We start from the raw sequence: 13,638 nt of genomic DNA, 5'->3' as shown, positions 1-13,638 counted from the left end.
TCTGTGACATTTCAACTTACTTCTCTCCAAGCCCAACTGCACCAGGTTGGCTTATTACCAAAGAAATGACCACATTAGCCTCATGTTGGGTCAAAACTGCCCTCCTCCAGGAACTCTGCATTCTTAAGCTGTTTCAGGTGATCTAGCCAATGTATCCCCATGTTCTCCTGAAGAGTGTCTCTCTTTCCATTATCAATAATCTTGGTTAGGGCTATCCTAGTTAACTGTGAAACAATAGCTCACAGTGAAGCCCAGAAGGAAGAGAGTAGATTTTCAATCTCTTATCTCCCAAAAGTCCACAGGATTCTTTCACAGCTTTATGTACTTGGGGTCACAGAGAGTGGCATCCCTGTTCAAGTCAAAAAAGATTCAGATCAGATCCACTGTTATTCTATGGCAAAGGGTCCCTATATTCTTGTTTTTCATTAAGAGAGAGTAGAATAACCCCTAAACGGAAAAATAGCATAAACTTCTACAGCTGATATACATCAGATGTTGATTCAAGATGTTTTTCCTTTAATTATAGGCAGAACAGAGGAGAGTCCTATTTTTTTAAAAAAAAGCTCCTATTTGTTTAATTCTGCTGTTATTTCTGCCGATTGATTTGCTGGCTATGGAAGACTGTGTTCTCCAGCCCAGGCCCTATCATACAACACATACATTGAACAACTAGAGAAACAAGGACTACCATTTAATGAGCAGCTGTAGTATGCTGGGCACTGACCCCAGCAACCCAGAGGTGTTGGTAAAAGGTTTCTAAGAGCATATTTGTGCTTAAGCAATAGATGCTGACTTGATTAGAAGAGAGCACGTCTTTTATGAAAAATGCCTGAATCTTGGCCGGGCGCGGTGGCTCACGCCTGTAATCCCAGCACTTTGGGAGGCCGAGGCGGGCGGATCACGAGGTCAGGAGATCGAGACCATCCCGGCTAAAACGGTGAAACCCCGTCTCTACTAAAAATACAAAAAATTAGCCGGGCGTAGTGGCGGGCGCCTGTAGTCCCAGCTACTTGGGAGGCTGAGGAAGGAGAATGGCGTGAACCCGGGAGGCGGAGCTTGCAGTGAGCCGAGATCCCGCCACTGCACTCCAGCCTGGGTGACAGAGCGAGACTCCGCCTCAAAAAAAAAAAAAAAAAAGAAAAATGCCTGAATCTTGGCAACTCCAAGATGGTCAGCTCCATCTTATCTTTCAAAAAATATCCTCATGGTATACAGTATAGAGAGCCATTTTACAGAGAAAAGGGAGAAATGGGCTTGTTAAATGTAGAATGTGCCTCAGAAGGATATTTTCTAGTGAGAAATTTGGCTTCTCAAACTACGAGATAAAGCACCACAAAATACAATTTTGAGAAGAAAGGGCTAGCATACGGTGCATATTAACATTTGACATTTAAAGATTGAGACCTTTTATTTCAGTAACTACCTCATAAATCTCGTAGGCAAATGATCTTCACTTCCTGGGTTGCCTTAATTTTCACTTAGCTCTTCTCTGAAGCTGTGTTTGCAGGTGTGGGCCATCTGAGAGCAGTGAGCCCTCCATTCAAGGAACATCTTCTGTGTCGACTCTAATCTGTCTTCAACAAAGCAACAAATTCCTATTTAAAACTAGTTAGCTAAATACTCCAGAGATCAAATATAATTTCCCTTTAGTTGTGCTCACACTGTCACAATTCTAATTATGACACTGTTGGGAATACTCGCTTTCTTAAAAAATGTAAAATGCACCATAAAAATTTATGAAGCAAATTATCACAGGTGTAACTGTTCAAGGGTGCAGTGGTCTCTTTGTAACTCAGTTTCCTCAACCAGTGCCCTTTTACACTTTATTTTATGGTCAGTGTGATGCCTCATTGAAAAAAGAATATTAAAAAATAATTTATTAAGATTAAATTGCTTCTTCAGAAGGCACAATTTTATCTTTCTCATTTTATAAGAATCCCATTTTAATTTGCTTCCTATGCAATCCCTAGCATGAATTTAGAGATTTAATGGAGTAAGGATTGAAGGCTAATATCAATGAAATGATTAATTTTATATTTGAAAGATTGGTTTGTTTGATTTAGATGAAAATTTCACTGGCCAATTATCCCTGGACTCTATTTAGTATAAAGTACTGACCAAATAGTCATTCTCATTCATCACTTACCAGTGTGAATTGGAAAAGGCATCTTTGTGATTATTCTTGATATATTAAAGGTTAATGTTGAATAGAAATGCTATAGGCTGGGCGCAGTTGCTCACGCCTGTAATCCCAGCACTTTGGGAGGCCAAGATAGGTGGATCACCTGAGGTCAGGAGTTTGAGACCAGCCTGGCCAACCTGGTGAAACCCCATCTCTACTCAAACAAAAAAAATTAGCCAGGTGTGGTGGCAGATGCCTGTAATTCCAGCTACTCCAGAGGCTGAGACAGGAGAATCGCTTGAAGCCTGTATGCGGAGGTTGCAGTGAGCCGACATCACGCCACTGCACTCCAGCCTGGGTGACAGAGGGAGACTCTGTCTCAAAGAAAAAAAAAAGAAAGGAAGGAAGGAAGGAAGGGACTGTTGCTCATTCCTCAAAAACTCAAAGAGAGAACAGATGCTTTTCCTAAAAAAGCTAATTTTAAAAAAATATTTATACTTATAACATAGATCAATAAATATACAAAACCCCATTGTACATGTATCTAAGTAACCGTACTTATTAAACATGCTATGTCTTATTGTCTTATCCATTGTCTGTGGTCAAAAAAATAATATTCAAACTTATAACAAAGTAAGAATAGACTTTAGACTTTAGTGTTTGAAATTAGAGATTTTATTTCAGGCTTTATTTTAAAATGTTAACAACATTGTCAGAACAAGACAGACAAAAATTATGGTGAAATAACTACTTCATCTGTAGGCATAAAGACATAGCTTTTTTTGTTTGTTTGTTTCTGCTTGACATATGCTAAACGCATGTGAGTGATTTGAGGCCACCTCTAAAGTAACCTAGAATCACAGATAGGGACAGAACTTAATCTGGAGGGATTTAAACAGATGGCCCCTAAATCCCAGAGAGAGCATATGATATGTCTTAAGTTTATGTAAAAAATAAGTCACTGAACTGGCCTGGAGCTCAGATAAACAACATTTAATTTGCTGGTCCTTCTCAAACCTAAACTCCCATGATTTTTTTGTTAATGCAGACTGAGTGTTATCACATGGAAAAATAGTTGAATAAGGAAAGTAAATTAGTTGGGCACATTAGTAGGATATATTAATATGTATTAGTGATTCAGTAGATACAGAGAGAGAGAGAGAGAGAACCTGCTATGTGACAGGAAGTGAGTTCCTGGCTTTGTAGAAGCTTACAATCTATTTGGAGATAAAACAAGAATATATGCAATTGTAATGCAGTCTCCAAAGTGCCCCAACCATGCTCAATGGAGAGTATTGGGAAATTTAAGGATGATATAAGAGCACATGGGCTAATACATTATCCAGACAGGGTGCTTATGGAGGGTTCTAAAGAGGAGTGGATATTTAAGCTAACATTTAAAGGATGAGTTGGAGTTAACCAGAAAGGAAAAAAGGAAGAGCAAGTGTTTCACAAGAGGCAACAGTCTGGAAAAAACAAAAATAAAGCATCTTTGATGATGCATGGTATTATGGATAGATCTGATAACAATGGCAAGAATGGCAAGAGATGAGATCAGAGGGAAAAGAAAATATTATGAAGGGACAAGCAAACCATGATCAATAGCTTGGACAGTATTCTGAAAGCAATGATGAGTTCATTCCAAGGTTAGAATACAGCAAGTTATGATCATATTTGATTTTCAAAAGAACTTTCTTATTGGGCTATAAAGAGTGAATTGGAGGGGGGATAGATGTGAAAGGCAAGTCTTAAATGGCACAAAGGTGAGAGTTTTAAAAAAATTTATTTGTAGACTGGGCGTGGTGGCTCATGCCTGTAATCCCAGCACTCTGAGAGGCCAAGACGGCAGGAACGCTTGAGCCCAGGAGTTAGAGAGCAGCCTAGGCAAGATGGCAAGACCCTGTCTCTAAAAAAAAAAATTTAATTTAATTTAAAAATAAAAATTTATTCATTGATACATAACATTTGTACATATTTATGGGGTACATATTATATTTTGTTACATGCATAGAATGTGTAATGATCAAGTCAAGGCATTTAGGATCTCATCACCTCAACATTTGGGTTAGAAATATTTCAAGTCATCTCTTCTAACTATCTTCAAATATATAATGCATTGCTATTAACTATAGTCACCCTACATAGCTATCAAACATTGGAACCTATTCCTTCCCCTGACTGTATGTTTGTACCTGTTGTACCAGTCTGTCTTCATGGCCTCCCTCCACCACACACATGCTCTTTTCCTAGCCTCTGATAACTATCATTCTACTCTACCTCCATGAGAGCAACCCTTTTAGCTCCCACATATGAGTGAAAACGATGTGATATTTATCTTTCTGTGCCTAGCCTATTTCAGTTAACATAATGACCTCCAATTCAACCCATGTTGCTGCACATGACAGCATTTTATTCTCTTTTATGGCTAAATAGTATTCCATTGTGTCTGTACACCACATTTCTTTATCAATTCATCTGTTGCTGGACCCTTAGCTCGAGTCCGTATCTTTGCTATTGTGAATACCACTGCAATAAACATGGGGATGCAGGTATCCCTTTGATATATTTATTTCCTTTCCTTTAGATAAATACTCAGTAGTGAAACTGCTGGATCATATGGTAGTTCCATTTTTAGTTTTTTTGAGAAATCTCTCCTTTATCCACACTCATTCTCTAAGTGGTGTAAGATGGTATTTCATTATAGTTTTGATTTGCATTTCCCTGATGATTAGTGATGTTGACCATTTTTTTATCTACTTGTTGGCCATTTTTATGTCTTCTTTTGAGAAATGTTTACCCATGTTCCTTGTCCACTTTTTAATGGGATTAGTTGGCTTTTTGGCTAGTGAGTTGTTTCAGTTTCTTGTATATTTGGGTTATTAGTCTCTTGTCAGAGGAATAGTTTGCAAATATTTTCTTCCATTCAACAGTTTGCTCACTCTATTGATTGTTTCTTGTGCTGCACAGAAAGTTTTTATTTTAATTAAGTCCCATTTGTCTATTTTTGTTGACTGTGTTTTTAAGATATTAGCCATAAAATCGTTGCATAGAGCAATGTTCTGGAGTGTTTTCCCAATGTTTTCTTCTAGTCTTTTTATAGTTTCAGGTCTTACTTTTAAGTCTCTAATAAATCCTTCATTTCGTATACCACTCTTATGTGGGATAAGAGTCCGGTTTCATACGGCTGCACATAGATATCCAGTTTTCCAGCACATTTTCTGAAGAATGTGTCCTTTTCCCAAGGTATGTTCTTGATGCCTTAATTGAAAATCAGTTGTCTATAAATACATGGATTTTTTCTGGACTTTCTATTCTTGTCCATTGGTCTACATATCTGTTTTAAATCAATATCATGCTGTTTGGATTAGTATAGTCTTGTATTTTGAGGTCAGGTAATGTGATGCCATCAGCTTTGTTCTTTTTGCTCAGAATTTCTTTAGCTCTTCAGGCTCTTTTTTTTGGTTCTGTATGAATCTTAGGATTTTTTTTCTATTTCTGTAAAAAAAAGTCATTGGCATTTTGTAGCAATTGCACTGAATCTGTAGGTTGCTTTGGTTAGTATGGTCATTTTCACAATATTAACTCTTCCAGTACGTGAGCATAGGATGTCTTTCCAGGTGTTTGTGTCCTCTTCAATTTCTTTCATCAGTGTTTGTAAGGTTTTTTTTTTTTCTTACAGAGGTCTTTAACCTCCTTAGTTAAATGTATCCCTTGGTGTTTTTTGCAGCTGTTGTAAATAGGATTGCCTTCTTGATTTCTTTTTCAGCTGGTTCATTACTGGTGTATAGAAATGCTACTGATTTTTTTTATCTTGATTTCGTATCCTGCAACTTTACTGAATTTGTTTATCAGATCTCAGAGTTGTTTGGTGGAGTCTTTAGGGTTTTCTAAATATAAATTCACATCATCTGTAAAGATGGACAATTTGACGTCCACTTTTCCAATTTGAATGCTTACTATTTCTTTTTCTTGACTGATTGCTTTGGCTACAACTTCCAGTAGTGAAAGCGGGTATCCTTGTCTTCTTGGCATTCTTAGAGGAAAGGCTTTTGGCTTTTCCCTATTCAGTATGATGTTAACTATAGGTTCGTCACACATGGCCTTTAATATGTTGATGTATATTCCTTCTGTGCCTAGCTTATTAGGAGTTTTTAATCATAAAGTGATGTTGAAGTTTATCAAATGCTTTTTCTATATCTGCTGAGATGATCATATGGTTTTTGACTTTCATTCTGTTGATGTGATATATCCCACTTATTGATTTGTGTATTTGAACCACCCTGAACCCCTGGAATAAATTTCACTTGATCATGGTGTATTATCTTTTTGATGTGCTGTTAGATTCCGTTTGCTAGTATTTTGCTGAGGATTTTTGTGTCTGTAGTCATCAGGGATATTGGCCTGTAGTTTTATTGTGTCCTTGTCTGGTTTTGGTAGCAGGGTAATGCTAGCCTCATGAAATGAATTAATGAGAATTTCCTCCTCTTCAATTTCTTGGAATCGTTTAAGGAGAATTGTTTTTTTCTTTATGAGTTTGGTAGAATTTGACAGTAATGCCATTTAGTCCTTGGCTTCTTTTCTTTATTGGAAAAATTTTTTTAATGGTTCAACCTCACTACTCGTTATTGGCCTGTTCAAGTTTTCTATTTCTTCCTGATTCAGTATTGGTAGGTTGTATGTGTTCAGAAATTTATCCATTTTCTCTAGATTTTCCAGTTTGTGTACAGTTGTTCATAATAATCTCTGATTATCTATTTTATTTCTGTGGTATCAGTTATCATACCTCCTTTTTTGTTTCTGATTTTATGTATTTGGGTCTTTATCTTTTTTTTGGTTAATCTAGCTGGCAGTTTATTGATTTTGTCTTTAAAAAATAGCTTTTCATTGCACTGTTCATTTGTATTTTTAAGTCTCTATTTCATTTACCTCTGCTTTTATCTTTATTATTCCTTTCCTTCTAATAATTTTGATTTTGATCTGTTCTTGCTTTTCTAGTTTCTTGAGGTGCAGTGTTAGTTTGTTTATTTGAAACCATTTTATTGTTTATTGTTACTTTTTGATGTAGGCATTTATTGCTACAAACTTTTCTTTTGGCTCTGCTTTTGCTGGATCCCAAAGCTTTTGTATGTTATGTTTCCATTTTCATTTGTTTCAAAAAATTGTCCTTAATTATCTTAACTACTTCATTGACCCAATGGTTGTTCAGGAACATGTGGTTAAATTTCCATATATTTGTAGTTTCCAGAGTTCCTTTTGTTATTGATTTCTAGTTTTATTCTATTATAGTCTGAGAAGATACTTGATATAAGTTTGATATTTTTTAATTTGTTGAGACTTGTTTTGTGGCTCAACATCTGGTCTATCCTTAGAGAATGTTTCATGTGCTGATGGGAAGAATGTGTATTTTGAAGCTGTTGGAGTAAATGTTCTGTAAATATCTATTAGGTCCATTTGATCTAAAGTCCAGTTTAAATCCAATGTTTCCTTATAGATTTTCTGACTAGATCATCTGTCTAGTGCTGAGAATGGGGTGTTGAAGTCCCCAACTATTACTGTGTTAGACTCTACCTCTCCCTTTACATCTGATATTTGCTGTACACATCTGGGTGTTCTGATGTTGGGTGTATACATATTTATAATTGTGATATCCTCTTGCTGAAATGATCCCTTTATTATAAAATGACCTCCCTTTACTGTTTTTGATTAAAGTCTGTTTTAACTAGTATAAGTATGTCCACTCCTGCTCACTTTTAGTTTCTGTGTGCAAGTAATATCTTTTTCCATTGCTTTGCTTTTGATCTATTAGTGTCTTTACAAGTGAAGTGAGTTTCTTGTAGGCAGCATATAGTTGGGTCACTTTTTTATATCCATTCTGCCAGTCTGTATTTTTAAGTGGAAAATTTAATCTGTTTACATTCAAAGTTATTATTTATATGTGAAGACTTACTCCTGTCATTTTGGTAACTGGTTTTTGGTTGTTTTATCTACCCTTTGTTCCTTTATTTCTCTCTTATTGCTTATTATTGCAGTTTGGTAGTTTTCTGTAATGGTAACATTTGACTCCTTTCTCTTCCTCATTTGTGTGTTTGCTCTACCAGTTAATTTTATACTTTCATGTGCTTTTATGATGTTAACATTGTGCTTTCACTTCTGGGTGAAGCTCTCCCTTAAGCATTTCTTGTGGGGCCAGTAGAGTGGTGACGAATTCCTCTTCTAGGAAAGACTATTTCTCCTCTATTCATAAAGGATAACTGCTGAGCATAATAGTATTGGCTGACAGTTTTTTCTTTCAGCACTTTGGGTTTCTGAAGAGAAGTTGGCTATTAGTCAGATGGGGGTTCTCTTATGTGTGACTAGATGCTTTTCTCTTGCTGTTTTTAGAATTCTCTTTTTCTTTGACTTTTGACAGTTTGACAATAATGTGCCACAGAGAATAGTTTTTTGGGTTGTATCTATTTGGGGATATCTGGGTTTCCTATGTCTGGATATCTAAATCTCTTGCTAGACTTGGGGAGTTTTCAGCTATTATTTTGTTGAATAGGTTTTCTGTGACTTTGGCCTTCTCTTCACTTTCTGGAACACTCAAAGTTTGGATATTTGGTCACTTTATGGTGTCCCACATGTCATATAGGCTTTGTTCATTTTAAAATTCTTTTTTTCTTTTTCTTTTTGTGTCTGACTGTGTTATTTCAAAAGACCTGTCACCAAGTTCTAAAATGCATTCTTCTATTTGATCTAGTCCATTGTCGAAGCTTTCAAATGTGTTTTTTATTTCATTCATTAATTCCTCTACTTTCAGGACTTCCGTTTGGTTGTTTTTTTAATCTCTCTTTGATGAATGTCTCATTCATATCCTAAATTATTTCTCTGATTTATTTATATCATTTATGTGTGTTGTCTTGTATCTTAGTGAACTTCTTTAACATCATTATTTTGAATTATTCTAGGATTTTATAAATTTCTTTTTGATTGGAATCTGTTGCTGGATAATCATTATGTTCTTTGGGAAGTGTCATACTTCCCTGCTCATGTTTCCTGTGTTCTTACATTGATACCTGTGCATCTAGAGTAACAGGCTATTCCAATTTTTTTTTGGATTGGTTTTTGTAGGGGAGAACTTTTTCTTGAAGCTATATCTATGGCATTGGTTGGATAGGGCAATTTAGCTTTGATACTGGGTGTGTACTCTAAACATTTCTTTGGCTATAAACAGCATCAGCAGTGTCTATAATTTCTCCAGTGGCTTACTACAGTTGTTAGTTCAGGATGTGGTGAGGCTTTGCTGGAGATGGGGACACAAAATATGCCAGTATTCAGGCCTCACTGGTGGCAGCAGTGGGCCAACAGGACTTGTTCTTGGACCTCTGTGCAGCATACAGAGTCACCAGTGTTATCAGGTCCAGGTGGGCTGATTCTTGGCCTCTGGGTGGCATTTTTTTTTTTTTTTTTTTGAGACAGAGTTTTGCTCTTGTTGCCCAGGCTGAAGTGCAATGGCACAATCTTGGCTCACCGCAACCTCCACCTCCCGAGTTCAAGCGATTCTGCTGCCTCAGCCTCCCAAGTAGCTGGGATTACAGGCATGTGCCACCACGCCTGGCTAATTTTTTGTATTTTTAGTAGAGATGGGGTTTCTCCATGTTGGTCAGACTGATCTCGAACTCCTGACCTCAGGTGATCCACCTGCCTCGGCCTCCCAAAGTGCTGGAATTACAGGCATGAGCCACTGCACCCAGCTAGGTGACTTTCGTAGGTACCAGTAGTGGCAGCAGTGGGTTGAGTTAGTGGCCAGGTCCCAGGCCTCTGGGCAGCATGTGTTACATGGGCAATAGTATAGTGGGGTGGAAAAATATTTGAGATCCCATATGGAATACGCTGTTATTAGCAATGGCTGTGACAGGCTGGGGAGGCCAATCCCCAGGCCTTCAGGGGGGTGCATGAAGTTGGGTGCTAAATGTAGTCATGGCCGAAAGCTGAGTGGGTGTGTCCTCAGCCTCCAGGGGAAGTGCACAGATGACAGCAGTGATGGACAGGCCAAGGTGAGCCCCCAGGCCTCTGGACAGATGCTTGAGCACTGAAGGGGCAGTGCCAGGCCAAGCAATGCTTTCCTCAGGCTCCCTGGTGGTGTGCACAGGCATATGGGCCACTGGAGTCATCCCCAGGCTCCTGGGCCTTGTACTTGGCTGGCAGTGGAGTAGTGGAAGTGGATAGAAAGAGCCTGTCTTCCAGGCACTTGTGGTGTATGGTGGCCCTGCTGCTGGAGGCAGCAGCAGGGTTGCTGTCTATAGCAGAAGTGGCTCTTGGGTTCTGGGGAACACACACTTTGGCCTTCAGCAGTGGCAGCACATGGAGAGAGCCTTTCCTTAGGACATGTGTAAGCGTGGTGTGTCCTTGTTGCTGCAGGAGAGGGGCAGGTTTGCAGTCAGCAACAATGGCTGGCCCATGGCAGATGGCTTTCAGGCTCTCGGAGCACTCACTTCAGCCCCCAGCAATAATGGCACATGGGGAGAGCCTTTCTTTAGGGCATATGTAAGTGTGCTGTGGCCCTGCTGCCTGCAGGAGGCGGACAAGTTTGCAATCAGAATTACTGACCCCTGGAAGATGGCTCTCAGGCTCTGGGAGAGTATGCTTTGGTGCCCAGCAGCACTGGCAGTGGGAAAGGAGAGACTGTCCTCAAGGTATTTACAAGTAGGCTGTGGCTCTGCTACTGGAAGGGCAGGAATGCTGTCAGTGGCAGTGGCCCCGGGCAGACAGCTCTCAGGCTCTGGGGAGCATAGGCTTTGGTTCCCTTTGTCCCAGGGGTCACCTTCCTATTGCACTGCACTGCCAATTTATTGAGATGCAAGACACTGTGTAGGCTAGAGTGCTTGGGACCTTGCAGCATTGCTAGGTGTTATACCATTGCAGTCCTCTGGGTAGATGTGGGGGGAAATCCGTGGAGCTCCACGGATGTGGAGATGCAGGTGCTGTCCAGCCCCAGAGCAAGATGCAGTCTGATGGGTGCTCGGCTCTCAAAATGGCACCATGTTGCAGCTGCTTAGGACTTGGAGGGTGTGTAGGACCCAGCATGAGCTCCTTCTCTGGAGCAATGTCATCACTCATTCTCCAAGCAGCTCCCTATGCTAGTCTAAGGGCCCACAGGAGATGAGAGGCTCTAGTGTGGCTAGAATTGCAGAAGTGTATGGTGGAAATGTGGACTGCTGGGGATCTCTCACTTGCCCTTTCCCTTCACTGGGGAGCCTCTCCAGACTCCCAGCCAGTTCCATCCGAGCCAGCTGCCTCACATCCCTATCTTTCTATGCATCAGGTGTTTCCTGTCACTTATCTGTTGAATTCCAGTGTTCTCTCTCAGATGCTCTATTTCAAATGTGGTAATCTACTTGCCATTTTGGCTCTTCTTCATGGAGGAGGTGAGTACCAGACGTTTCTAGCCGGCCATCTTGAAGCCTCCTCACCAAGATGAGTTTAAAGGCTGATAGAGACATACAGGCAAGAGATTGACGGTGGTCTGCAAGAATTGAGTCACCCAAACCTGACAAAAACAAGCAATGGGGAAAGGATTCCCTATTTAATAAATGGTGCTGGGAAAACTGGCTAGCCATATGTAGAAAGCTGAAACTGGATCCCTTCCTTACACCTTATACAAAAATTAATTCAAGATGGATTAAAGACTTAAATGTTAGACCTAAAACCATAAAAACCCTAGAAGAAAACCTAGGCAATACCATTCAGGACATAGGCATGGGCAAGGACTTCATGTCTAAAACACCAAAAGCAATGGCAACAAAAGCCAAAATTGACAAATGGGATCTAATTAAACTAAAGAGCTTCTGCACAGCAAAAGAAACTACCATCAGAGTGAACAGGCAACCTACAGAATGGGAGAAAATTTTTGCGATCTACTCATCTGACAAAGGGCTAATATCCAGAATCTACAATGAACTCAAACAAATTTACAAGAAAAAAACAACCCCATCAAAAAGTGGGCAAAGGACATGAACAGACACTTCTCAAAAGAAGACATTTATGCAGCCAAAAAACACATGAAAAAATGCTCATCATCACTGGCCATCAGAGAAATGCAAATCAAAACCACAATGAGATACCATCTCACACCAGTTAGAATGGCGATCATTAAAAAGTCAGGAAACAACAGGTGCTGGAGAGGATGTGGAGAAATAGGAACACTTTTACACTGTTGGTGGGACTGTAAACTAGTTCAACCATTGTGGAAGTCAGTGTGGCGATTCCTCAGGGATCTAGAACTAGAAATACCATTTGACCCAGCCATCCCATTACTGGGTATATACCCAAAAGATATAAACCATGCTGCTATAAAGACACATGCACACATATGTTTATAGTGGCACTATTCACAATAGCAAAGACTTGGAACCAACCTAAATGTCCAACAATGATAGCCTGGATTAAGAAAATGTGGCACATATACACCATGGAATACTATGCAGCCATAAAAAATGATGAGTTCATGTCCTTTGTAGGAACATGGATGAAACTGGAAACCATCATTCTCAGCAAACCATGGCAAGGACAAAAAACCAAACACTGCATGTTCTCACTCATAGGTGGGAATTGAACAATGAGAACACATGGACACAGGAAGGGGAGCATCACTCACCGGAGACTGTTGTGGGGTGAGGGTAGGGGGGAGGGATAGCATTAGGAGATATACCCAATGCTAAATGACGAGTTAATGGGTGCAGCACACCAGCAATGGTACATGTATACATATGTAACAAACCTGCACGTTGTGCACATGTACCCTAAAACTTAAAGTATAATAATAATAAAATTAAAAAAAAAAGAATTGAGTCACCATGGATATACGGATATACAAAAAAAAAATTGAAAATATGTAGGAAATGGAATGGACAGAACTCTAGGATGTGATTGGTAAGTTGTTAAAGATGAAGCCCAGGTTTCTTCACTATGCAAATGGAAGATAACTGGATCATCCACTGAGATAGGCATAGCTGGAGGAAGAGCTACTTTCTGGGGACAGTTGATATGCTCAGTAATTGACCTATTTTATTTGAGGTCCTTTGTGCATTAAGGTGTCTGCATATCCACTGATCAATTGGAAGTACATGGAACTTATAACAGAGATGTGGGCAGAAATAAAGATTTTTTAATTATTAGAAGCAAAGACAATAGTCAAGACCATCCAAAGAGAATCTGCATACTGGAATGAGAAAATGTTAAGTGCAGATCCTTGAAGAACAATGCATGAGGCAACCAGTTTCAGTTACCTGGAAAAATCACATCCTTTAAAAAAGAAATTGATGTTCCTTACAGAAGACATTCTTTAGAGATCAAAATTGAAAATAAATATTTTAGTTTAATTTGTGCATTGGTTTAATTAGTGATACTAAGTCTTGAAAAAATATATTTTTGTGGGGTTAAAGATAATGCAGAGGCTGGGTGTGGTGGCTCACACCTATAATCCCAGCATTTTGGGAGGCAAGAGGCTGTCGGATGACCTGAGGTCAGGAGTTCAA

At 39.2% G+C, this 13,638-nt stretch overlaps 2 annotated features.

Moving 5' to 3' along the window:
• Nucleotides 9,806–10,305: an enhancer, noted in NCBI's record as "H3K4me1 hESC enhancer chr16:59314571-59315070 (GRCh37/hg19 assembly coordinates)". NCBI's record gives its function as "activates a minimal SCP1, AML or CMV promoter by ChIP-STARR-seq in primed H9 embryonic stem cells {active_cell/tissue: H9 hESC(primed)}" and the evidence as "EXISTENCE:reporter gene assay evidence [ECO:0000049][PMID:30033119]".
• Nucleotides 10,306–10,807: an enhancer, noted in NCBI's record as "H3K4me1 hESC enhancer chr16:59314069-59314570 (GRCh37/hg19 assembly coordinates)". NCBI's record gives its function as "activates a minimal SCP1, AML or CMV promoter by ChIP-STARR-seq in primed H9 embryonic stem cells {active_cell/tissue: H9 hESC(primed)}" and the evidence as "EXISTENCE:reporter gene assay evidence [ECO:0000049][PMID:30033119]".

The sequence above is a fragment of the Homo sapiens genome, chromosome 16 (genome assembly GCF_000001405.40).
Source record: "Homo sapiens chromosome 16, GRCh38.p14 Primary Assembly".
Lineage (NCBI taxonomy): Eukaryota > Metazoa > Chordata > Mammalia > Primates > Hominidae > Homo > Homo sapiens.
The sequence above is the reverse complement of the archived record's forward strand: the minus strand, read 5'-3'. Positions and strand labels throughout refer to the sequence as shown.